Genomic DNA, 27,895 nt, shown 5'->3' on the forward strand with positions numbered 1-27,895 from the left:
GAATTCACACATCTCCCACATCATGATAATTACCTCCATGGTAACCACTCATGACATCACAAACACAATGTGATAGCAGAAGAAATAAGAGCTCCTGAGACCCTGCTGGATACAAATGCCCTGTACGACCTAAGGGCCTCCACAGCAGGAACAAAAGGAATTTTGTCTGAGATTTTAGCAGAAAAGTAATTTTTGAAATCTATTCTTGGATTTAGACGTTTATTGGATTTCAAAGCTTCTTGCTGCCCAGGAGCTTGTGAATACGGTCAAAGGTCCATGAAATTTCCAAAGTGGTACCACAGCAGATGAACCTGAATGCAAACTGGAGGGACCAACAGAGTCCAGCCTATAGACATAAATCCTTAACTACACCTAGATCTCACTGTCTTTTCCAATGGTCAAAAGAGGGGCTCTTGAAATGGCTCCATTGTTTTATAGAAACAAGGTCTTCCTAAGAAGTCTTTTTCTCCTATCTTTTTCTTACCCAAAATAAAGGAATGGCCCAAAACCTCAAGCCAAGCTTACCAGCTATAAACAACTTGGTGGTCAGCAGCCAAAAGAAGAGTGGACATGCCATGGTCATGTGGCACGTACCCTATACAAGCTTCACAGAGAAGAATGGAAGCACTTGATTGTAAGACAGAGGGTGAGATGTGAGAGGAATATTAACCTTCACTTTCCACAGGCATTTTTTTCTGCAAATGGCACCAGCTTTTGGACTTAAAATTTTATTCCAAATACTATTTAGATGCATCAGGGCCCTCAAAATATGGATTTCAAGTTGGAGACATCAAAGTGCATTATTTACTAAAACCACTGCAGCTTTTTTCCCCTCTCCTTTCACAAGATGCTATTGTAAATTCAGGCTGCTTTAATCTCTGTGATTAAAAAAAAAAAGGAAGAAAGAAAAAAAAAGTGCTGCTTGAAGAGGAACTGAACTCACAATCTGGGAGCTAGAAAGTAAATATTACCCAGAGAGTACCTCACTTTAATTACTGGCCTGAACATTGGTTTCAATTTACATGTATTTTAATTAGCCACAGAAGGGTTCACCTATTACTCTCTGAATACAAAACTTAAAAAGCAAACAGAAAATAGGGAAAGAAAGGCTTATTTAAGGGCCTCCAAGGATTAATCTTTGCATTCTTCTCATTTTTTCCCCGAATTTGGGGATAAAATTTGTCGCAGGGAATTTGATCTTAGGGAAACATTGAGTTTGGTTTGTGAACACAAGCTACTTCTGAACACTATTTTAGCAAACAGAATTTTAGAAGCATAAGGCTCTAGCAGAGGGCTATACAGAATTTTGCATAAACTAAATAACAACCGTTTCCTCCTGAAATGCAGGAAATCAAGCTGCACGGGTATGTTTGCTGATTGGGTGAGTGAATGAGTGAGTCAATCAGTGAAAACTCCAGGCTCCTTTACTCTTCCTACCTTTCTTTAACATCCTTAAACTTTTATTTGAATTTTTTAAAGTTTGTAAATTGTTTTGCTTGTCCATCTTGGACTGTCAGTTTCTGCCACCAAAAAAAAAAAGGAGTAAAATTAATTTTAATTGACTTTAATTTCAAAAATGTGTCACACCAGATTTCTAAAAAGTTGCATTCTCAAAACAACTAGGCATTAACAACTAGGCTTCAAGAAGCCTTAGAATATCTGTAACTAGAGAAAGATGTGTGGCTGACTGATTTACCAAGGACTAACAATGACACTTGGGGATAAAGTATTTCTGGATTATGAAGACATAACCTTTTATTAAGTCTTGAGCCCCTTACTCCAACTCCACCAACCAGCCAACAGTTATTCAAGCAGGTCCAACTGAGTTTCTGCACTGGGCGAGGAACTCTGTTAAATGCTTTGGGGGATAAAAAGAGGCCCAGTGGTGTGGTGGCTCACACCTGTAATCCCAGCACTTTGGGAGGCCAAGGCAGGTGGATCACTTGAGCCCAGGAGTTCAACACCAGCCTGGGCAACATGGCAGAACCCCATCTCCACAAAAAGTACAAAAATTAGCCAGGCATCGTGGTACATGCCTGAAGGAGCTACTAGGGAGGCTCAGGTGGGAGGATCACTTGAGCCCACGAGGTCAAGGTTGCAGTGAGCTGTGAACGTGCCATTGCACTCCAGCCTGGGTGACAGAGCAAGACCCTGTCTCCAAAAAAAAAAAAAAAAAAGAGGTTGAGTACATGGTTGTTAAGAAGTTAAGAAGTTTGTTAAGGGAGGTAGGACCTCTACGGACCTGTGGCAAGCACTTGTTCCAAGTTCTAAGGCACAGGAGACCACTTCTAAGTCGGGGGACAATTATGGGCTCTGCAGAAACGATAATAGTCAATCTGTGAGGACTGAGCAAGAATCAATGGAGAGGCATAATACATGCACTGTCCCCAAGCCAAAAGCCTGGTATATATTTAGAATAATCAGTACAGGACTAGTTTTGCCGAGTGTCTGCTGTGGCCAGAGTGTGGAACAGAAAGGGGATCTTGCAGGTCAAAGCCGTGTACCCAAGAATGGATAATATGGTCAGCCTGTGATCTCAGAATCTGTGTGGGAGTGAGAGGAGAAAAGGAAAGGAGTGACAATGGCCTGTAATGAGAGTTCAAAAGGAGACTTCTATAGCCTAAGATAGAGATAATGTCACTCTAAGTGTCTCTGGCAGGAGCCAAGAAAGAGAAAGAAGAAACATAGCCAATTATTAAGCTGTTGGGCTCTAGAGCTTACCCAGCCTTGCCCTATTGGCCTGGAATGAGTTTACTGGGTGCTCCGTAAACTGCTACTGCAGTGGCTCTCACCCAGTAGCATCTTAAAGGTGCTGCTCTGCTTCTGATAGTTATGCCAACAATGACATAGTAGAAGGCACTGGCTGCTGCTTCTCAGATGGCCACAACCCCAAGACAGCATGTTAGGAACCACTTACCTATCAATCCCAAAGTCCTTAGGTCTTCAGCAAAGCTTGGACCACTTGGCAAAGTCTTCTGTCTCCAGAGGAATGATGGGAAAACTATGGGACAAAAGTCAGGAGAGTGGTGCTGGCTGATCCTGGCCTGGACATTGACTCCCTGGGGACTTTGGGTGAGTCTCTTCCTTTCTCCAAGACCCAATTTCATTTGTTAAATGAGGAGGTTGGAACAAATACTTGCTTCCATGTCTTGCATTCTATGAGTTGGGATCAAGTGACTGTCCTAAGTTCATGAAGCTGCATGGAAGTCAGATCCTAGAACAGATCCTGTGTCTCCTGATCCCTCAATCTAATGTTCTTTCCACAATGCTGGGCTGCATGAGCAGATGTCAAGGGTAAGAGGTAACATTCATTGAGTGGCTACCACATGCCAAGTGCTCTCTCTTGTGTGTCTGTACTATATCTAGTTAGTTCTCCCATCGTCATCTGTGTTAGATAAGATTTTCAAATCATTTTACAGATAGGAAACAAACAGAAAGATTAAGTCATTTATCCACAATCACACCATTAGTAAATGCAGAGCTAGGATTTAAAGTCAGCCCAATTCCAGAACCCATTGTCTTCATCTCTACTCTCTACACTACATAGTAGAATAAGAAGGAGTAGTTCAGTGACATAAAGGACATGGAACCTTAAAACAGAAAATATGGCAGTCTTTCAGAGGTGAATTCACATTGGAAGTATGCGAGCTTTCTGAAGAAATATTTTGGTTAGTGTTGCTTGCCTGCACACCTCCCCACTAATGACCACATGAATAGTCCCTGAGGGATCATTTGAGATCCAGTGGCCTTAAATGTGGTCTGAATGGAGTATGGATAATGACCACATAGAAAATCAGAAGGCAGTGGCCTCCTGGCTGACTCCTCTAGCTTATAAGACAAGGAAAACCAAAACCACCACAGATTATTTTTACTACAGAATAAAACCCAAGAGGAGTCATCCCATTGAAATCTTTAGGGAGCCAAGCCGACATCACCCCGAGGCATGCACACAGGTTCACCCAGTAGAATACAACTTGGATTCACAACTATGCCAAGACAGACATTATTTTAAGCAAAATAAGGGGAGGGAGGACTTAAAACTTCTTTCAGAGGCCTATATGACATGATCTCTATACTTTCTTTTACCTATAATATCTGAGATCTTTCTTCTAGGAGAGTGAGTTATTTTTGAGCAGATTTTTCTATTGCTAATAAATATGTGTTAGTACGATGGAAAAAACCTTGGATGAAGACTAGTGACTGTTTCTAGCCCAGCACTTTCACCAAGTGGCCTCTTGACCTTGGCTGGTCACTAGACCCTCTGGAGCCCTAGTTCCTCATCTGTAGAGAAGGGACTGATCTCTGTGAGTCAGCCAAGGACCAGGAGTCCTTGAATTGTGAATTTTGATAGATAGATCCACCAAACAAAATTGTGATCCATGGAGATTAAATTCAAGTAAGAACAAGAGGCAGTTCTCTTCTGGAGAAGAAATTAGGTTCAGATAAAAAGCTATGCCTCTCTCTGGTTCTGGAAGCTTGGCTGGGCCTGACCTGCTGCCAAGCCTCGGAGACTCCTCAATCTATTCACACAGCAGGAGAGCAAAAGCTCTCTCCCTGGGAAGCTGTTTGCATGAAGCAAAGCAGTGCAATCCTCCTTGACCTCCCTGGAGGGAAGGTTTGCCTCCTTCTCAGGGAGAGTTTCCGCAGTAGAGATAGTAGAATACAGGAGGAAATGAGCTGGACTGGATAGATAAGGCTGAGAGGAAAGCCACATATGAGACCACTGGACCACTCTGGGATGGGGACACAAGCCCCCTTCATGATTCTGCCTCTTCAGAAAATGGGTTTTCCCATAGTTCTGCCAGAAAGCCTTTGTCATATTCTTGATGCTCACACACCCAGATGATGGCTGTTTCTCCCTATCCTTCCAGTTCATGGTTGCATTTACCAAAATTTATATTTTTTTCTGAGCCTCTAGGACCTTTCCCATGCTGTCCTATAGAAGCAGGTTAGCTTTATTCAGTATTATCTGCATTGTGTAGAGTTGAGTACTTTAAAAGGAACTTCACATTTCCAGCTACCCTGCTGTCTCTCAGGGTAATCAAAAGTATTCTGGATTCTTTTCTATGCATTTAAAATTTTCGCGTTAGGTGAAACTGCCAAACCCATTCTAAGGTGGGAAAAATGAAGCATGGAAGAATTGTGATTTATCCACAATTACACACATAGTACGTTTCATGCCAGGATTTGAAGCCAGTCACTGTGACTGCAGAACTCATTCTTAAGCTCAACTCTCCACACTACATAATACAATAAGAGAGGGAAGCTCAATGACATAGGGACACCACAAATTTACAAACAAATATATTCACATATATAGGTGTGGCTTTGTTTCCTTTCTGTGTGGGGTTTGCATTTTTTTTTTAGGATAAATGGGATCATACACTATGTACTGTTTAATGAATTGCTTTTTCATATAACATATGTCTTGAAGATATTTCCATGCAATTTTAGAATACATCAACCTTATTTGTTTATAATGGCAGTGTATTCCACTATATGGATATTTACTTAACTTTCTTCCTACTGATAGAAAATTAAGTTTCTATTTAATTAAGTTTCCAGGTTTTCAATTGCAATGCTTCAGTTAATATTTGGTACTGTATGCAGACATATGAATATTTCTGTAGTATAGATTTTTAGTAGTGAAATTGTTTGGTCAAGGAAAATGCACATTTTTGTAGATTTCTGATAGGGTTTTGCCACCTTGGATAAGGTCACAGTTAAAGCCACCAAGCTGATGTGGACTCCAGAGACAGACATTATGAATGAGTATCCCTATAGCTTACACATAGTACCTCACATATTCCAAGGAGCCTTTACATATATTAGCTCATTTACTCGATAATAAGTTATGAGAGAAGGCTATTGTCATCTTCAGATAAAGAAATGGAGACCAAGCAAAATTAGAGAGATTTGTCCAGGGTCAGTCTATGAATTAAAATCAGAGTTAGAACTAGAAAAAAAATTTCTCATTTGTATTAAAGCTATTTCATTAAAACCACATTGGTATAATAAATTGGATATAATAAAATGTTTGGTTTGTGCTTGGCTATTAACATATCTATGTATACGAGTTTTTAAAAGTAGGCAACATGAGCACAGTTGAACATTGCAAGTTGTGAGGATAGAAATGTACGAGAGAAGTTGGGAGGTGTTTTCCAGCTCAGAAGTACTATGATCTTATGATCCTAGAGAAGTAAATAAATAAAATGAAGAGAAGAACTCGGAAAGAAAAAGTAAAAGATACCAAAAAGGCTGGTTGGGATGGAAGAGTCTTACAAAAATCGATCCCAGGAATCCCCACAAAGAGTTGCAAAAAAGAAGCCCTCAGGATACACTAATGTCTTGTGAAAGCCAGAGTAACCCAGGCTCAGACTTCTTGCCTAAAAACAGTATATAACCTAGAAATTTCTTCTCCAAACCCAAAACAGGAAAAATGACAATTACTTAATCAACACAGAATCTTTAGTTGAATTCACCCCAAAGATAATTTACTCCAAGTAAAAGATTTTACAGTTAAATATTACTTATGATTGAACAATAAGTATCATTAGATAAAAGAATTTTGAAGAGGAATGAGTAAGCTTCTCTGCAGAAATGAATACAGAAATCTGTTCTTGATCATCTTGATCAGAATAATGACAGAAGGAGGAGGAAACTGTAATGATGTTTTGATAAACTTGCTCAGTCAGGTGCCCTAACATTTACATGTAAATTTCAAATAAGGATTCTACAAGGACTTAAGATACCTCCTCTCAATAGCTATAAAGACAGCCTGCCCAGTCTCGGCTCCTTTCACTTAGTTAGTAGGCAATTTATCTAGAAATTGTAACTCTCCTCTAGTTCTGACTATATAACTTGCAAATGAGATAAATTAGGACAGAATCAAAGACAAAGACTCATACTGAGTAGTGTCTTCAAAGATGATTGTCTATCAGTACCAACAAATGCTTTTGAAAACATAAGCTTTCTCTACCAACTGCTCGTTAAGAAAGAGAGAGAGAGAGAGACACACACACACACACACAGAGGAAATGAGTCCATTTAAGAAACATGTATTCTGAAATCTATGTGGTTCTTAAGGAGAAGGTCTTGGATTATGAGAAATAGTTGGCAAGAGATTGCACCTTATTACTGTATACCACTGGGAGTTTGGGCTAGAATTTACAATTTTGGCTTTACACAGGATACTCAGTGTCCTGGCCACCCTGCATAAAAGATTGGCTGTGAATTTTGCCAAGGACTTATTCATATTTCAGCTAATCAAGATCTTTAATAATCGTCTGACTTCTAAACCACTTATTCTGAGGCCTTCTGCAGCAACCCACGGGAAACAAAAGCCTTCATTTTCATTTAGATTTCTCATTTGACTGGCTCTAGCAAAGAATCTCTTCTCTCTGTCTCTCTAGGGATTCTTGATAAATATGTAGCTTACAAGGAAAGCAAGCAAGGGGTTCAATCTATGACAGGAAGGAGAGGAACTACGACACCTTTGTAGGATTCTCAACAGATGCTCACTGCACTGAGGGCTTGAAGGAACTATGAGATTGTTGTTGCTGTGGCAACCACGCATGCCTAAATGAACAACAAAATTAATAGTCCTAACAGCCTTCAGTGGCGTCAACAGGATGACAACACTTCCCTTTACTGGGAAATGTGTACCCTCCATAGTGACTCCACTTAGATATGGTTCTCATATAAAGAAAAATAGTGTTTCATAATAGCAAACAAATAGAACAACCATCATCTGCATGTGCCACACAAACTTCTCCAAGCCACAGACAGCAGCCAGGTTACTCTGTTTCCCTGCTAAAGTTAAGAGGCAACTTTCAAATTCCCAGGCCTTTTTGTGGCATTCTATTTAATTTTGTCATGCTGCTGCTAGTCTCCTGTTGAGCTTTTGTTGTGAGCCAATAAGGCTAACGGGGAGCTAAGGGAAAGCAGAATGAGATACAAAGAGAAAAAAAGGTAAAATTAGCTGAAGCCCATAATTGGACTCTGCTTGGCCTTGAGGAAGGCACAATACATATTAATTAAGCAGACTAATATGTTGCTAGCTGGAGGGGCTATTCCAGACAGCAGGAACAAAGTTTAAAACAGGTAAGAACTTTTTTTTTCTTTCTTGGGTTGAGGTTAGTTGAGACATTCCTCTGAATAATTAGACAAATTTTATCCTTGAGTAGAAATAGGGAATAGGAAAAGAAGCTTTCTTAGGATGTTAGATGTTATTAAAAATCTGTTGGGCTAAGAAACTTTTTTAGATCATGAGAACTTTTTGAGAAATTGCCCAGTTACTGCTTTATTAATTGAAATGTACAATGAACATATTTGTGCCTTTCAAACGAGTATAACATTCTGATCCAATTTTAGGCAGAAGTTTCACTCCCCAAATGTTTATTATTATTATGACAGAATTAGAATGAAGAAAATATTTCAGGTTAAATAATTTGTCCAAAGTTGTGGGCAATGCCAACATTGGGAATAGAAACCTTTGCTGGAAAATGTAGACTTGGACATTTAAAGCGTGTACTAATGAATGGGGTCAAATGCATGGGGTAGCTGGCTTAGAACAGAGACAGGGTAGCTCCAGGGTCAGACATCCTAATGCCAGTCAGTCCACTCAGAAATACACTCAAGTTTGCCAAAAGAGTAAGCAAAAATATATAATAAGCTCCATGCAAACCCATCACAGCTCAGCATAGACACATGACTGATAACAGATTTGAGATTTCACCTTCCTTTAAAAAGAATAAAGTACACACCTATGCTTACAAATCCCATGTAGCGAATTATCAAAAAATGCCCTAAGTAGATTTTTGAGCACTATAGAATATGAGTTAGAGTCACACAAGTATTTCTGTTCATGAGTCTACAATATCAGCCTGATGACATGTTAATTTTGCAAACAAATAGCCAATAGTAAGCTGCATCTTTATTACACAAAATCTAAGGAATTTATGCCTTAAACACTGTCTTATGAAGTTGTGAGAGTTGGACATGGGAATGAAATTGTCATCTCAAAAGTTCCCTCTCCTCCTCACCCCCCAATAATGACCTCCTACTATTATAAAGCTATAATAAGTTTTGTAGAACAGATTTAGGTGAGAATACATTATTAAAAATAATTATATATTCAATACTAAACATCTCCCTTTGTCAATGCCCTATTTCTTAACTTGAGTGCTGGTTACATGGGTGCATTCACTTTATAAAAATTCATCAGGGCCAGGTACAGTGGCTCACACTTGTCCCAGAGCTTTGGGAGATTGAGGTGAAAGGATTGCTTGAGGCTAGGAGTTCGAGACCAGCGTGGGCAACATGGCGAGACCCCATCTCTAGAAAACAAAAGAAAAAATTAGCCAGGTGTGGCGGCACGTGCCTGTAGTCCCAGCTACTTGGGAGGCTGAGGCGGGAGGATCACTTGAGCTCAGGAGGTCAAGGCTGCTGTGAGCTACAATCGTGCCACTGTACTCCAGCCTGGCTGACAGAGTGAGACTCTGTCTCAAAAAAAAAAAAAAAAAAAGAAAGAAAGAAAGAAAAGAAAAAGTCATCACACAATTTTCTGAATGTTAGGCTTCAACAAAAAGTTTTTTAAAAAACCTTCTCTTGTTTCTGCACTGCTGATCTCAGATGAATTATACACAGTTATGTGTTGCTTTAGAAACAACACATTTATTCCTATCAATGTGAAGGTTAAAAAAAGTTTTGTAAAGTAATCACATTGTGAAAGTGCATCAAATAAGCTCATTATTTAAGTGAAAGATGTGAATTATATCTCCGACTTGGCCACTAACTAGTGGATGAATTTGAGCCTCTCTATAGGCCTCAATTTTCTCTCAATTAAAAAGGGCTGGGTGAGCTACAGTCCAGTGTCTCTTCCAGCTTCAATATATGGTATTAGATTGGTGCAAAAGTAATCAGAGTTTTGCAATTACTTTTCTTTGTTTGTTTGTTTTTGTTTTGTTTTGTTTTTGAGGAGTCTCACTCTATTGCCCAGGCTGGAGTGCAGTGGCAGGATCTCACCTCACTGCAACCTCCGCCTCCCAGGTTCAAGCGATTCTCCTGCCTCAGCCTCCTGAGTAGCTAGGATTACAGGCATCTGCCACCATGGCCAGCTAATTTTTGTATTTTTAGTAGAGACAGGGTTTCACCATGTTAGCCAGGCTGGTCTTGAACTCCTGACCTCAAATGATATGCCTGCCTTGGCCTCCCAAAGTGCTGGGATTACAAGCATGAGCCACCACAACTGGCCTTGCAATTACTTTTCATGGCAAAAACTGCAATTACTTTTGCACCAACCTAATATTAGGTAGTAAGACAAATGACAAATGAGAATCCTTTGGTGAATCTTTCTGTAAAGCAACAAGCCACTTCCCGGTTTATCTCAAGAATTTAAGGGGGAAGAGGGGTAGTTGGAGTGAGCAAAAGTCTGACTGAGTGATAACCTTGACTCATATGACTAGGCCTTGTTAACCACAAGAAAGTCTCAGTCTAGTCACAAAATTCTGTAGTCCCCGCAAAAAGGAGAAGCTGTCAATTATTTCCTCCATTAAAGTCTGGAATCAGTAAGACTAGAATTAACCTTTTCCTGCCAAAAGAATTGTGCAGGGTTTTCAGTGGATCTAAGTTTAGTCAAAGGATCACCTATTCCCCAAACATGTACTGAGCTCCTACTGGATGCCAAGCTTCCCAGTAGACATTGGGGATAAAATGGCAAGGGGGCGGACTAGGTCCTCCCCTAGGGGCCTCTGAAGCTTGTGGAGGATACAGACAAGTAAACAAGCAATTACAGGGGTGTTATATTGTACGTGCTGCAAAGAGAGAAATAAAAGTCACAGGAGGGGCACATAACCTGCCAGGAAAGTTTTCTGGAGCAAGTGATGTCTAAACAATGGGTAAGAGTTAGCCACATGACTATGTGTAGCTCAGTGCTAGGAGGCACCGCAGCCTAGAGCAAGCTCTGGAGTCAGGCTACTTAGCTTCAACTCCCTGTACTATACTTAATAACTGTGTGAGCCTGGGTAGGGCTCTTAAGCTTGCTAAGCCTCAGTTTCCTTATTTGTGAAATGGGAATAATTACAGTGCTCATGGGTTGTTGTAAAGATTCAATGAAAGGATCCATGCAAGCCCTCCTTAACACAGAACATAACTACTATTACTGTAATTACTGATAGTGAGACAGATGTGGGGAGAGGACAGGTAATATTCCAGGCAGAAAGCCTGTGCATAGACAAGCCCAAAGGGGACAAAGAATATGGCCTTTTGGCATCCTGAAAGGCATCCAGTCCAAATGGAGAGAAGAGTGGGAGGAAGTGGTGTGATAAGGTTGGAGTGGAAGGTGGAAGGCAGGCACTGGAGGGTGAAAGGCCCTCTATGCTGTGTGAAGGGGTTTGGACTTCATCCTGAAGAAATGAGGAGCACTGAAGTCTTCTCAAAGGAGAGGGTCATGATGTTCACTCTCACATTTATTAGTAGGGGAGAAGTGTGCTGCCCATGTAAAAAGTATTTTTATTTTACCCCAAAGCATTAAGACTCTACATCCACTAGCCAATTTCCTCTATAGAGGATAAGGTTCTGTTGGTCACTAATATCCAGGGATTCCCTTCTTTTGGTGCATTCAAGATGTTGGATGCTCAAATAACTGCAGGAAAGACATCACAAAAATAATCTAATTCAGCCTCAGAGACCCAGTTCAGAAAATTAACATACTATATCTTTTCATGAGCCATGAGCTGCAATATACAGCAGGCCTCTCTTGAGTCATTAAACTTGTTCTATTAGATTACAGAAAATCCCAGACAACTCGCCCTGCCCTGGCTGGATTTTTGTAGAATGCAGATCTCTTTTTTTCTAACAGAGGAAAAGCAAGCACGAACCATAGGAACAGAGCTTTGTCTAATATGGGATGCAAGATACACACTTCTTCTGCACTATTTCTTTAAACCTGACCTCTAAGGGAAACTTGAATAAGAACAAATCAAGGCTTCTTGAGATGAATAAGTATTAGAGTGAAGTCCATATGGGATGGATGTGAGCACTGACATGATTCAACACTTATAAATGATCTGGAAGAACAAGCAAGCAATAAATCTCTGATGCAGTCAACCCTAAGCACTTCTGGGTAGTTTAATGCCAAGTCAGCATGAACCAACTTAGAGCAGGAGCGGAGAGGAGAATGACAGGTGTGATGTAAGTGTATTTGGAAGAGAACAGTCCACATCTCACTTGTAAATGAACTACCAGTTACAACCCCAAAGCAACACCTGGAATTATGGTGTGGTCCCTATTAGTCTATTAAGGTCAGAAAAATTAGAGTATCATCATGACAGTCACTAAAAGCAAAAGAGGAAGCAAACCACCATTCTTCACCCCTCTTAACCAAAATGGAGGCACACCCACTCCTGAAATGCCATGTGGCTTTATGGCCATGCACAAAGAAACAGAAAGCAGAACCTGTTGGCACTTTCGCACATCTCCTGTTTGTCCGCCAGACTAGCTACAGTATTTTGTACTCAATGATGTGACTTAAGTATCAGTAATGATTACTAGTTTGCTCATGCATTTAATATTTATTGCAAACCAGCTAAATGCAAGGCACCATCCTAATGCCTGGGAGCAATATAAAGAAGGGTGAAATATGCACACTCACCCTGAGTGGCTTACTCTGGTAGATGTGATGAGACTTGGACATTATAACACAGGACACAAAGTAATAAAAAGCCACAATAGAGGAGCAGATGAAGTGTTATAGGACCATGCTAAACATATTTAAAGAATATTATTATGCCAATAAATCATATATATATATATATATATATATATATATATATGGTCTATTTTTATTAAGCACGTTTATTTTAAAGCTTGACCTGGACAGCGATGATCATTGTGATTTTACTAACTGACAATTCCATTAATGCCCAGAGCCAGCAGCTGATATTGACTAGCAGGTCACAGTGGCAACAGGAAGATGAGAAGTTTCTGAATGGAGCTGCACTCCGAGGCTGCTAACAATAGTGGATATTAAGACAACTGACTTTTTTCTAATGGAGGAAGGTGGAAGGGAGAGTTCATGCAACTTCCCAGTGAGATCCACCATCGTTTCTCCTGCCTATGCCCACAGGGCACTTGGTTTATCCTGCAACTGCTGCAAGGTGCAAAAGCCCTGCCCTAAAATACTCTTTAAAGGAGGGGAATAAAAATTAGTCTCAGGATGAAGTAGCTGACATCCTGTCTCTTCCCAAGTCAGCTTAGAGAAGGCATTTACTATATTAATACCAACAACACTGTCTTCCCCTTCCCCATACCACTCCAGAAGGTACACATTGGATTTATTTAGGAGATTAATTTTGTCTGTAGAAATACTAGTTCTCCCTAACCCTCATAATCAGAGTTCAAGGGAGAAATCAATAATACTGTAGTAAGGCTTGAGAGATAAATGTCTTTGGGAGCAGGAAATTTCCATACCTTCTAAATTTTCATATCTCTAAGCCAAGAAAACTAGAAAAAGGAGTTTTAATTTTGCTGCTTAAAATACAAGCCCTCTTACCCTTTATTTATTTATTTATTTATTTATTTATTTATTTATTTATTTATTTTTGAGACAGCGTCTCGCTCTGTCACCCTGGCTGGAGTGCAGTGGCTCAGTCACAGCTCACTGCAGCTTCAAACTCATGGGCTCAAGTGATCCTGTCACCTCAGCTTCCCATGTAGCTGGGACCACAGGCACTCACCACCACACCCAGCTGATTTTTTATTTTTTCTGTAGAGATAGGGTCTCTCTGTGTTGCCCAGGCTCGTCTTAAACTCCTGGGATCAAGCGATTCTCCCACCTCAGCCTCCCGAGTAACTGCGACTACAGGCATGTGCCACCACACCCAGCTGATTTTTGTATTTTTGGTAGAGACTGGGTCTTGCTATGTTGCCCAGGCTAGCCTTGAACTCCTGGGCTCAATCCATCTGCCCACTTTAGCCTCCCAAAATGCTAAGATTATAGGCATAAGCCTCTGCACCCAGCCAGCTCTCTTACTCTTCTATGTATGCTCTGACACGGAAAACAAGCTTATGTTGCTAGCTACCTGTGCAGTTACCAATGTCCACCTCTTCATGAAACCTCTTTAATTCATGCAAATAAGAGATAGGCTTGCCCCATTCTCCATCATTTCCACTATTACATTTGCTTTTGCCTCTGCATGTGTTAGTGGTGGGAAGAGCATATTTATACAGCTGTCTCTCAGTTAATAGAACACATTTACCCAGGAAAAGAGTTCCTAAACATAATGCAATCACATTTCAGAATAGTGCAAACTTCTTAAGATCATACAGTTAAATAATATAAAATTTTTCAAGTATATGACATTATTTTAAACGTTAGCAATGAAATTGATGAAGAAGTATTTATCTGCTAGGCTTCTAATGTACTAAGGTATATTGTTAGATGCTGTATAAGTTTTTTTTAAGTTGAACACACAGATCCTATTTTTAAGAAGCTTATAATCTAGTTGGGAAGATAAGTTTTAAAATATACTCAAATTAAGTGTAAGAATTAAATATTAGAACAGTACCAAGATGTCTACTAAGTCCAGAGAGTTTAAGGGATGGAAAATAATGAGTGTGAATGTTAGACTTTATTTCAAAAGAGCTTGGGGTTGTTAGAAAATCACCAAGGCTTTAGGAATTTCTACCTTTCAGCTAGAATCATTGTGATAAATGGTAAAGTTGATGGCACTACTGTAAAGAGTTTCAGTTACTGTGTTATGTTTGTGGTATTTTTAATTTTGTGCTTTATTCTAAACATAATATGACATTTTAAAATATTATAAATATTCTTCCTTATCCAAGCCGCAAAAGGGTTTCCATTAATTAATTAATGTAAAGAGTTTCAACTAATTAAGGAATATCTGTATTGTTCAATTGTATTTCATCTGGTCTCTTTTATTTTAAGGATAGTTGACATGATTATTACCTTCTCTGGGTTCTCTAAAACCTATAGTAGGAGCTAAAGAATCACAAACACATTCTGTACCTAATAAATGAATAAAGATGTTGTTTGGGAGAAGTAGAGATTCCATTTTGTGGGTGCTTTAATTAACAATCAAACTTGTAACTTCTGTTCTAACAAAATAGAAATCTTAATTGCTAACCAAATTAACTCTTAAACTTGAGTTTTAAAATGTCATAGTTTGGGATTCTTCATTCTCTCTTTCCCTTCATCTCTAGTATACAAAGAGCCCAGAAAGGTACAACACTTAGAAAAGACAAAAATCAAAGTTGAACATTTGGATTCAAATTGCAGAAGAAGAAAGGGAATATTTTAGAAAATCGCAAGGGATATGCCTGCTGTTATTGTTTTAAATCAGTTTGAGCACACACTGCATCTTAAGTAGTTGTTTGCCTAGTTTGTGTTTTTTTAAATAAATAAACATAAAACTATAATCTTAAATGCACGGTGAGAACCCAGATAATTGCTTTTAGTTTTATAATTGGGAGTCAGCTGTGACTCAAAACAGAGAATCTGAAAGCTACTTCCGGAGATGACACTATATGCATTCAAAATGATGCAGGTGAAGGACTCCCTGAGTGAAGCAACAGAGCACCTGTGGTCACTGCAGCCATCTTTCTAAGCTTTTGTTTCATCCTTTGAGAGCTTCTAGAAACAGGGACTCAGATGTTTATATGTTTAGAAAATGCAGGATCAATTCTTTTGTTGCTAAATATAAAACTAAATTGTCCCCAAACTATCCAACTTCACACTTACATACATAAATTATAACATCATAGTTGAAACCCTCTAAGCCTAATTACTGTGCCCATATGAAGATTATAATGCACCCCATTCTTGATTATTCAAAGACTAATTATCTAGGCCAGGCACTTAAGCTTGTCCTTATTCCCTTGGTTTTCTGCCATTTGGTTATTTTAAGGTTCACTGGCCTCTTCACATGCAGGGAAGAGGAAATTAAAAAAAGATGAAACTCAAATCAGTAAAATTTAACTTCCCACATGATCTACTAAAACTTATGGGATAGAGAAGGCAGATGAAATGAATGGTTAACATGAAGATGGAAGTTCTCAATGTATTTGATTTATTCACAGTGCTCTCTCGTGCTCTCTCTGTCTCCAGTGATAAGCTGACCAGATGCCTTGAATTAAGTACAGGTAAAATAGAACTTAATGTTGACTTTTTGACCTTCCTATTTTTTCACTTGGTTGATGGATTGTGTCTCTCAGCTCTTCCTCCCTTTGTCCTTCCTTCTCCCTTTACTTTCTCACTGTTAGCAGGAGTTACATTCATTCACTAAATGAGAGTCCTTTTATTTTTGCCTTTGAAGGGGGAATCCCTGGGATTTCCAGGCATTTTCTATCATACTTTAGTAGCTTTGCTAAGCTAAACCCCAGCTCTGTATGCTTCTATGCTACCCCTAGTAGAGAATTGGCTACAGCCCTGTGACCCCTCCTGGGCTGCAAGTTTTATCATTTCTTTAATCCCCTATCTGAAATCTTGTCACATTAGCTATTTATGTAGATATTAAGATGACCCAATATCCAGCCATCCAGCTGTCTCTAACCCCACTCCCACCATGTTCCTCTGTACATGACAAAATTCTTAGCCAATAGGATATAAATCAAAGCATTACTTTTTTCAGTTCTGCCTCCTACACCATGGGTTGTTCATCAGCCAAAGCTACAATAATTTCCTGCAGCTTAAATTGTTAAAAATTCTATCAAAAGCTCAGACCACAGAAAGGAAGGATCCCCAGGGAACAGTATGCCTATGAATAAGATACCCCAAACTCATAGGATTCATCTTCCATTAGCTCTGTGGGGGCACCAAAACCCCTGTTAAGCCTGTAATTTTGTGCCCAATATTAGAAACCACAGGATCCTAGACACAGCCCTAAACCTGTAGGGTAGTGACCAGCTGTTCTCCCCACCTCCCACCAAAGCCTGAAAGGTTCATCATGGTTCCAGGACAATGAAGGGAGAGTAGAAGAATCCCAGTTACAGGTCACAGGCTTATGTTCAATTACAGTCTTTTCTAGTCTGATCTATGTGATGTGATTTTTATGTTATATTGTGACTCACATATCTATAGGTCTATATTGTTATCTATATCAAACAGACTCTAAGTGTTTCATGTGCACCATCTCTAATCACCACAGCAACCCTGAGTTAGGTACTATTAATATCTATCAGACATTAGAAACTGAGGATAGCCTTGCCAGGAAATAGCAGAGTTGGATTCAAACCCAGACTGACTCCAAAGTCCATACTCATTCTACTACATTATTTCACCACCCTAGCCCTGGCCTATTTATCTAGTCTTATTCTCCCACTTTCTCAAATCTCAAGCTGCCACCAATTGAATCTTGTTATGAGCTAGTCTACAAAGAAGCCCGATCTGTGTTCTTAGCAAGGCCTCATTCCTGTGTAGCTGACCAGGTCTTTCACTTAAGACTACTGTAACTTCATCCCAGCCCTGCCAGGGAGGTTATAGCTCCTGCCCAGGATTCCCCAACCAAGGCCAGTGTCCCCATTAAGACTCTTTTCCAGGTGGCCTTTTTACAAAATCTACAATGAGGAGCAAGGACGATGAAAATGAAATTGTATTAACTATAGAACTGTACATGGCATATGGGAGCATAGATTACTAAGAAATGGAAATAAGGATTAAGATAATCTGGAAAATTGACACCAATAATAAGAGGTCAATAAATAATAAAATATAGCAACAATTGACACAGAAATTAAAATCAGTAAAATAAAATAGCATACATTCCTGAAAGACACAAGGAAGACTTGAACACAAGCAAAAATATCCTCTATTCTTGGATAGGATGATTCAGCATCGCATATTTGTTGGCTCTTCCTAAGTTAATTTATAATTGAACTCAGTTCCAATAAAAATAACAACAAGGCTTTCTAAGGAGTTAGACAAATTGAAACTACAGTCCATATGGAAAACAAATCTTTAAGAATAGCCAGAAAAATGGTGAAAAAGAGAAACAATGAGGGTGGAATGGGGAGGGAGAAAGAGCCCCATCAGACAGTCAAACATACCATAAAGCCTCTAAGTTCCCATTTAATCTACAGGTTAAAGAAAGGCTCTTAACTATGATTCAAAACTCAGCAGCAATAAAAGATTAATAATTGTGACTACATAAAACTTTTTGTATGGCAAAAGAAAAAAATAAAAACACCGTAAGCAAATCAAAAGACTTTGACAAACTAGGAGAAAATATTTGCAGCATATACCACAGACAAGGGGTTAATATCCCTAATAAATAAATAACTATTAAAAATCAGGAGACAAAGGACCAAAAGTAGAGCAGAAAAATGGAAGAACAACATGAGCAACCACACACACACACACACACATGCACACACACACACACGCACACACACACACACACACACACAATCTAAAGTGGCTCTTAAATGTTTGAAAAATAAACTCATAGAGAAATGCAAATTAAAACAACACTGAAATACCATTTCTCATTTATTAGATTGGTAAAAAAAATTTTAAAAGCATGGCAACACATTCTTTTGGCAAGGCTGTGGGGAAACAAGCACTCCCATACACTGGTGGTAGGAAGGCAAGCAGATGCCACCCTTCTGGAAGAGAATTTGGACATTATCTAAAAAAACCACACATGCACAAAACTTTTGATTGAGTAATGCCACTTCTAGGAATCTAATCTGAACATATACCTCCAACAACACAAAAATACATATTCTCAAGATTATTCATTGCAATATTGTAATTACAAAATATTGAAGACACTCTAACTGCCCATCCACAGGACAGTAGTTGAAAAGCTATCATGAAATACTGTAGCTGCAAAAAAAAAAAGAAAAAGAATAAGGAAGATCTCTACAAATTGATACGGAGTAATTTCAAACAACAACAAAAGTGCAAAAAAGAGTATCTATAGTATGCTTCACGTAGGAAAGAAAGGGATTTAAGAAAATATCTGTTATTTTGTGCAGAAGAAATACAGGAAGGATAAACTGGTAGCTAATGACATGGTTACTTTACAGTTGTAGGTGGGAATAAGGAGAAAAAAGGCATGAGAAATAGTAGTAAGACTGGGGGAGCAATATTCCTCTGAATAAACCTTTTTTTTTTTTTGGAGATGGAGTTTTGCTCTTGTCACCGAGGCTGGAGTGCAGTGGCGCGATCTCGGCTCACTGCAACCTCCACCTCCTCGGTTCAAGAGATTCTCCTGCCTCAGCCTCCCAAAAATCTGGGATTACAGGCGCCCACCACCATGCCTGGCTAATTTTTGTATTTTTAGTAGAGATGGGGTTTCACTATGTTGGCCAGGCTGGTTTCCAACTCCTGACCTCAGGTGATCCGCCTGCCTCAGCCTCCCAAAGTGCTGGGATTACAGGCATGAGCCACCATACCCGGCCTGAATACACCTTTTGTACACCTCTGACTCTTAGAACCATGGTAAAGCTTCATGGTAATATACAGCTTGTAGATCACAAGAACCAAGAAAGAAGTTACAAATGAGGAAAGGAAGCTGGGTGTGCTGGCACATGCCTGTAACCCTTAACACTTTGAGAGGCCAAGGCGTGAGGATTTCCTGAGGCCAGGAGTTTGAGATCAGCCCGGGCAACATAGCTTGACTGAGTCTGCCTCTCTACAAAAAATTTAAAAAGTAGCTGGGTGTGATGGCTCATGCTTGTAGTCTCAGCTACTTGGAAGACTAAAGCAAGAGGATCGCTTGAGCCCAATAGTTCGAGGCTGCAGTGAGCTGTGATTGCACCACCGCCCTCTAGCCAAGGTGACAGAGTGAGAGACTGTCTCTGAAAATAGAGATAAAATAAAAAAACAAATTAGGAAAGGAGAGTGGCTAGAACAAACCCTGTGGTGTTAGAATTAGAGGCATCATAAAAACTCATGGATTGTAAGATATATATATATATATAATATATATACACACACACAGATGGATACATATATCTGTGTGTATGTATGTATATGCATGCATTTGAATGCATACATATGTTTCCTTGTTCTGTCCACTTTGAGAGAGCCTAGAAAAAGGGACACCAGTAGCAATAAGAATACCTGGTGCCCAAATCTTGGTCTCTAAATAACATTTTCCAGTGAAAAGTACAAGGGCTCCTTGGAGAAGTGGCTGGTTCTAGAGCTGGGACAGGAAAAGTACAAATGAGCCTGGAATATCTTGGGATGACAGAGCGCAAAGAAGTGCTCAGAAAAATGATGGGCCTGTTGAAAGGACACAGAAGCTAACCTGAAGGAGCTCCCCATAGCTAAAGCTCTCAATGGCCAAAGCTGACAATTTGAGTAACAATAAAGATGATAATAATAGTATTGGATTATAATCCATAGAATAAAATAGTCATGAGTCCATGTTGATCTAAATAATTAATTAAATAAATAGGGTATAACCCCATCACAAAAAGATAAACATTAAATGATTCCTCTTATATGCAGTATCTGGAGTAGTCCAATTCATAGAAACAAAAAGTAGAATGGTGGTTTCCAGGGATTAGGGGATGAAGAAATAGCGAGTTAGTGTTTAATGGGTGTGGATTCCCAGCTGGGGAAGATGAAAAAGTTCTGGAGATGGACGGTGGTGATAGTCGCACAACAATGTGAATGTACTTAATGCCACTGATCCATGCACTTAAAAATGGTTAGAATGACAAATGTTATGTTATACATATTTTACCATAATAAATTTTAACAATATTTAGAAATAAATAATAAACAGGGGGAGGAAATAGCTCTTATAGTAGAATTCTAACTAATAAATACAGAGAAAATAAGGCAAAAATATGAAAATCTCCAGTAGGCAAACATCAGAATACTAATTGCTGCAGCAAGAACTATTGATGGATGCTAAAATTATTGGGCTTATGATAAGAAACAGGATATTTGCATAGAGTCAAAGTCTCTCCCCCAAAGGTACTTACTAATTACAAAGGGGAAGATAATAATTTTTAAGTAGAGAAACTTTGCAGACACCATCTTAGCTATGTGATGAAATTTAACACCACCTCTGGTAAGACATTTTGACATGATTGACACAGCATCAATTCTGTGATTCTCCTGCGAAAAGGCATCACCGAAACCCAATCATGACGAAACATCAGACAAACCCAAACTGAGAAACATTCTACAAAATAACTGGTCTACAAATCTTCAGACACATCAAGATCATTAAAGTTAAAAAAAATCTTTCATACTGAAGGGGATTAAAAGAGATCTGACAACTAAACACAACACATGTTTCTGAACTGGACCTATTTTCTGTAATGGACATTATTGGGACAATCAGTGAAGCTGTAACAAGATCAGAGGATTAGGTGGTAGTAATATATCAGTGTTAATTTCTTTATTTTGATGATTGTATTGCAATCGTGTAGGAGAAATGTGTACATTGGAAATATACACTAAAGTATTCTGTGGTAGCAGGGCATCAGATCAGCAACTTACTCTCAAATTGTTTGGGAAAGGGAAGTTACTTGTACATAACTTGCACACATAAATTTCAGAATGTTTCAAAATTAAAACATAATAATTACTATAAAAAGATAGAGGGCCAGAAAATATAAAAGAATGGGAGAAGCTCCAACATGTGTCTTATGTAATTCCAGAAGCAGAGAATAGAGGAAGGGGCAGAGAGGCACCATCAGGAGAAATAATGGCTGAGAATGGCCAAAAATATTTCAGGCTGAGGAGTAAAGAAAGACATGAGCCCTCAGACTGAGTGTTTATATCAATTGCTGAGACAGAAAAACAAAAATAAATCCACCTCTAAGCATTTCATATTGAAAATTCAGAACAGCAGGGATAAAGAGAAAATCCTAAATACTACCAGGAGGGAAGACAGATTACCTACAAAGAGCCAGTCATTAGACTGAAAGCTTACTTCTCATTGGTAAATTGACGCCAGCGGACAGTGGGGAAATAGCTTCCAAGTAATAAGGGAAATAACAAGAATTATATATGGAGCAAAACCAGTGTTTTTTTTTTCACTGCAGTAAGTCATGAAAGGATATACTTCAGCAAGAAGAAAAATGAACCCAGAAGGAAGGAGTGGGATATAAGGAGCATAATTAGCAAATAAATTAACAAAATGTATCGGCATATCTCTTTATGTATTGGTTGTTAATAATAATAACAACTGATTTTGTGCCTTCTAAAACAGGTAAAACTAAATTCTATATAACAATAAAATGGCAGATGAAAGAAGGGACTCTGGATAACTTAAGTTTGGTACCTGGTAAATTCCTTGTTTTATTCAAAAGAAGAATAGAGAAACTGAAAAAACTATAGACAAAGTAGAAAGCTTACAGTGCATGTTAAACATGTGAAGAAATAAAAAAATAGAATCTAAAGTTTTCAAACCACTGGGGTAGAGGCAAGGGAAAGGATAATAAAAATGTATAAATCCAAAATAAAGGAAGAAAGAGTGAAAAAAGAAGTAAAAAGCTTGAAAAATAGAAAATAACATAAGATGGTAGAAATAAGCCAAACTATGTCATTAATCATAATCAATGGACACATATTAAACTCAGTTAATCCAGAAAGTTCCCATAACTATGGATAAAAAAGCAAACACCAGTGATGGGCTACTTTCAAGAGACACACCTAAAACAAATACGGAAAGATTGAAAATAAAAAGATGAAAAAATATAGACCAGGCAAATACCAACCCAAAGAATTCTAGTGAGCAATGCTAATAGCAGATTAAATGGAATTTAAGGCTAAAAGCATTACCAGAGATAAAGAGCTTCACTTTAAAACAATATTTTAAAGTCTACAAGAAATATAACTATCATTAACTTGTATGCATCTGCTAATACAGCTTAAGCATACCTAAATGAAAAACTGATAGAATTACAAGGAAAATTGGATAAATTCACATTCACAGTGAAAGATTTTAAGACAACTTTCTCAGACAATGATAGATAAATCAGATGAAGAATCAGAAACACAATTAACAAACATGATCTATTGGACATATACATCAAAAGAATACTACCCCCCCAAAATAGAGAATATACATTCTCATATGTATGTGGCATAATTACAAAAATTAATTGCTAAGTAGCAAAGTAAGTCTCAACAAAATTCAAAAAATCAATAGCATGCAGTTTGCATACTCTGCTTATCACAATCCAATTAAACTAAGACCAACAAGAAAAGAGGGTAAAAATGAAAACACCCCTGTGTTTGGAAATAAAAATTGCATTTTTATACAATCAAGAATTAAAGAGGAAATGATAATGGAATTATAAAAGATTTAGAACTGAATTAACAGTGAAAATGCTCATTTCTGAAAGTGTTCTTTTAAAACTTGTAGTATGCAGCAATGCCAGCCCTGGACTTTTCCCCAACCTATCACCCAACCCACTTACCTGGAGCCAAGGTAATTTCCTTTCTGCCTATCTTCAGAATACAAGAGGGGTAGATATTTTTTCCAATTTAATCACTGCATGGGTCATTTTTCAAGGTCCTGTATTTATCCTGGAGGTCTTTAATCCAATTTTCCACTTTGCTGGGGACCTCAGGTTTGTCTCCTGCTCCCCATTTAAGGTCTATGAAAATTGAAGCTCAAAGGATGAAAACAAGGGGATCTGAGGCTTTCCTCAACTTTCTCTCCAGGTTCACAACTTATTTTAAGATTAAAAAATTATTTTTTATCCAGCATTTTAGAAGTTTCAAATTGGGGGGCTTTCTTGGGATAACTAGTCTACCATTTTGTTCAAAATGGAGTGCCACCCTTAGGCACATTACCTATCCCCTCCGTGTCTTAGTTTCTTCCTCTATAAAATGAGGATAAGAATAAAATCTATTTTATAAGTTTGGTGGGGGTAGTCAATGAGGGACTGCATGAAAGCCCCTGGCACTACTAAGTACTCAATAAATGCTGATTATTAGAGGCAGCAGTTGTAGTGAACTTAATGCCAATAAGGAGAGTACAAAAAAAATCAATATTATAGAACAATCTCATCTACGAATATAAATGGGAAATTCCCAAGAAAAGTTAAGCCAATGAAACCCAGCAGGGTATAAAAAGTACAAAATGGCTAGGTAAGTTTATCCCAGGATGCCAAGATAGTTCCTCATTGACATATATATATATGTATATATATATATGTGTGTGTGTGTGTATATATATTTGACCATACTAAAAATTATATATGTATATATATATTTGACCATACTAAATACTAAAATACATATATATTTGACCATACTAAAAATTAAAGGAAAATACTACATGACATGATCATCCTAATACATAGTTGACGCATAGAATTTAATCTTCATTCATTATCATTACTCTCATCAAAGTAGGAGTAGCAGAGACCTCCTCAATCTAATAGAGTAACTACAAAACACCAAAAGTAAACCTCAGAAATACAGATGAATCTGTAGAAGGATTTCCACTGTAGTCACAAAACACAGAAGTCTACTTTCACCATGATTATTCAACATTATACTGGAATTTCTAACCCAGTGCTATCCAATAGAAGTGTACTAAGAGTTAAGAGCTGCATAGGCATTTTTAAATTTTCTAGTAGGCACATTTTAAAAAGTAAAAAGTACCAGGAGAAATTAATCATAATAATTTATTTTATTTAACCTGATGTATCCAAATTATTATCATTTCAACATACAATCAATATCAAAATTATTAATTAGATATTTTACATTATTTTTTCATGTTAAATTTTAAAAATCTGGTGTGTATTTTATACTTCCAGCACAACTCAAAGCAGCTACATTTCAGATGCTCAGTAGGCACATGGGAAAATGTACTGAACTTCATGTGTAGTCAGGGAAAAGCATCAGGTTGGCAAACATTAAAAAGTCTGAGAATGTCAAGTATTGGTAAGAAGGAAGATTCTTATACACTGTTGGTAGAAGCACCCTACCATTTGGAGAACAATATCTAATAAATTTGATGTAGATAATATTCAGTCCAATAATTCCACATCTAGATATATACTTTAGGAAAATTCTTCCCCAAGTGTGTAAATAAATATTTTTCATGGATGTCCTCATAAGCTTTGTTTGTAATAGGAAAAACTACTGGAAACTCTAAATGTCTGTAGGTAGAAGAAGGAAAGAGAAATTGAGGTAAACACACACAAGGGAATAATACACCATAGTTAAAATGAACTAAATGTATATGCACTAAAATGGATCAAGCTCAAAAAAAAGGACAATTTGTGTATTATGATAGAATTTATGTCAAATTTTTAAAATGTATAAAAGCAATCTCTATATATTTTAGGCATATTCTATATCTAGTAAAAATATAAAAGATATAGTGGATGGCTACACAGCATAATAATCATAGTGGTGCTTCTTAGAAAGAACAGAGGGAAGGAAATGAGAATGAGAAAGGATGAGATCAAAGATTTATCAGTAAAATATTACTTTCTTGATTAAAAAAATGAAGTAAATATAACATGTCATCTGGAAATTCTATTTGATGGCTACATAAGTATTGTACAGTATTGTCCCTAGCACTTTTCTGTATTTTTTAACATTTTCACAATTATAATTATATAATGCTTCTTGCTGTGTATCATGGATGAAAAATTCTTACTTGCTACACAGACTGAGTCTCTTCCATTAAAAGGAAATTTAGAGGAAATGAAGTCCTACACATGAATGATCTGTGTGTATACCAACACATGCGTGAGTGACAGGTCCAGTCTAGTATCTAGATATTTGACCTGTGTCTAGAAGAGTGTCTGGAACATAGCAGTCCCTTAATCAGCACTGAGTCCATGAATGCATGAAGTGTGTTGCACTGGTGGATGGGACCTTCAAGAGTCAATTTGCACCAAAGGAGGTTTGCCACACTTGTGCTGTGATTAATTAAAAATATACACTTGGTTTTCCAGATAATTCAAAGGATGAAACTGGCCATGGGAAGCAGAATACGATACCTGACCCATATATTGATCTTTGGTCCAACTGAGGTCTTAGCTTTATGGGAGGAGAAAGGGTATCCAGGCTACAGGGGAAGTGACTTTTCCCCATGTTACTGTGAACACAGCAATTCCACTTTGGTAGCCAAGTAACAAACCATGTCACAAGCTGTCATGAGTAGGAGAGAGTTGGAGGAAGGATTTTTCCCTAAGTCCTCAGACACAGCATGGCTTTAGCTCAGCAAGGACTCCAGGAGACTCTGAATTATGGATTTGCCACAGAATGCTGTTATGTATCTCTACTAATGAAGCTCCATGGTAACTTGACCTACCATTATATAGGTTTCCATGTCTCCAGATCAAACCACTTTCCCACATAAAACATGTATGTACCATTAAAGCTGATCTAACAGCAACTTATAGGAAGACAGATGAATAAATGAAAGATAGATTAGATTAAGATAGATAGATGATAGATAGATAGATAGATAGATAGATAGATAGATAGATAGATAGATAGAAAGATAGGCAGATCTCCTTTTCCCTGTTTAAGAGTTTCACTCTATTAGATAAATTTAGCTGCTAAAGGATTGAACAAATATGCCAAAACTCATGAGAATTCTCTGGTTAAAAAAAGTAAGATCTTCAGGAATGTTTTTGCAATTAACTATGCTCCATGTATAACAAACCTAAATATGAGAATTGGCAACTGGACCTACAGATACTGTAAAGAAGGGGGTGCTGAGCACTTCACATTTTTTTTTTTGGCACCAAGTTAAAAGGATCAGAATGTGGTTTCAATTTTGGATGTGCTAATTATGTTTGTCAATTGTGAGCTTTGCTTAATTAATTAGTCATGCAAATTTAACTTGAGTATTTTTTTGCACATCTAAATCATTACTATAGCAATTAAAAAGCTGCTTTGATTAGCTCCTTTCACAGTATGTAGCACAGCATACTCTTGTCAACTTCCTTTTGACAATCTGGCATTTGGGTACTGTTTGGAGAAAATATATTCTATATGTTTGGGGAAAAATAAAAACCAAGGCAGGTAACAAGAGAAGTGGCCCAGCAAAAGATAAGTCAACAACTATTGCCACTATAAAATCAGTGAATACAGACTGGAAATTGTAATAACACATGTTCAGGAGGAATACCCAGGGGTGGAGTGAGAGAGTGCTGAATAAACTAGGGACATGTTTCTTTTGCAAAATTAAGGTGGGGAGACGGTAACAGTCAGAGATAAGTCTTTGACTCACAATCAATGTCAAAACCATAGGAACCAAGCTTGTCTTTGACTGGGAGACCTAGCCTGACTCTCATAATCATGAATAAAAGCTATGGGCAGGGGCCTTCTGCCAAATGAATCTCTCCCCATGGCCATTTCATACACTAATAAGCCCAACTGTCAGGGCCATTGTATGATATTAGGTTGAGTTTCCTCGTAATTCATACATAGGCGTTACCTTCCCTATGAACCACCCGTAGATGCTGTATCACTCTCCTTTCTGCAGAGTGAGAACTTGACACATAGTGGGATTTAATATATTTCCCCCATGCCACACTGAAAATTAGAAGCAGATTCAAGAACAAATACAGGATTTTAATTTCCCATTCAGAACTATCTGTCAACCAAATCTTCCCATGCTTGCCCCTCACCATTGGCCCTGCAGGCAGGATGATAGCAAGCAACAGCTAATAGGTTATTACATACCCATGATGTTTATAAAACACAGAACCAACAGCAATTATTTAGAGAATATAATGCCATTTCTCATTTTAAAGTCATCCCTAAGGCTAATAACTTTACATATCTGGTTTGTCTCAAAGGGTCACCAACATCTCTAATAGAATCCAACTGTGGAATAGAAAAACTATTTCGTCTAAGAAGTGGATCCTAGCTGTCAAATAAAAAATCGCTGTTGAATGCTGTAAAGTACATTTTTACACCCAT

General features: G+C 38.0%; 2 long non-coding RNA genes across 3 annotated transcripts in view, besides 1 other annotated feature; one reads left to right on the plus strand and one right to left on the minus strand.

Moving 5' to 3' along the window:
• Nucleotides 1-27,895, minus strand: part of GNAO1-DT (GNAO1 divergent transcript) — a 98,108-nt gene that overhangs the window by 15,889 nt on the left and 54,324 nt on the right. The window lies entirely within an intron of this gene.
• LOC102725116 (uncharacterized) lies at nt 114-27,868 on the plus strand. Of its 2 annotated transcripts, none has more exons than NR_188608.1 (5): nt 114-1,364; nt 2,933-3,072; nt 16,099-16,161; nt 23,355-23,420; nt 27,772-27,868. It is a non-coding gene; the product is annotated as an uncharacterized LOC102725116 (long non-coding RNA). The 2 variants fall into 2 exon arrangements; NR_188609.1 differs by having other exon boundaries at nt 114-960.
• Nucleotides 4,310-4,811: an enhancer, noted in NCBI's record as "NANOG hESC enhancer chr16:56147097-56147598 (GRCh37/hg19 assembly coordinates)". NCBI's record gives its function as "activates a minimal SCP1, AML or CMV promoter by ChIP-STARR-seq in naive H9 embryonic stem cells {active_cell/tissue: H9 hESC(naive)}" and the evidence as "EXISTENCE:reporter gene assay evidence [ECO:0000049][PMID:30033119]".

This window comes from Homo sapiens, chromosome 16 (assembly GCF_000001405.40).
Source record: "Homo sapiens chromosome 16, GRCh38.p14 Primary Assembly".
NCBI classification, from domain to species: Eukaryota; Metazoa; Chordata; class Mammalia; order Primates; family Hominidae; genus Homo; species Homo sapiens.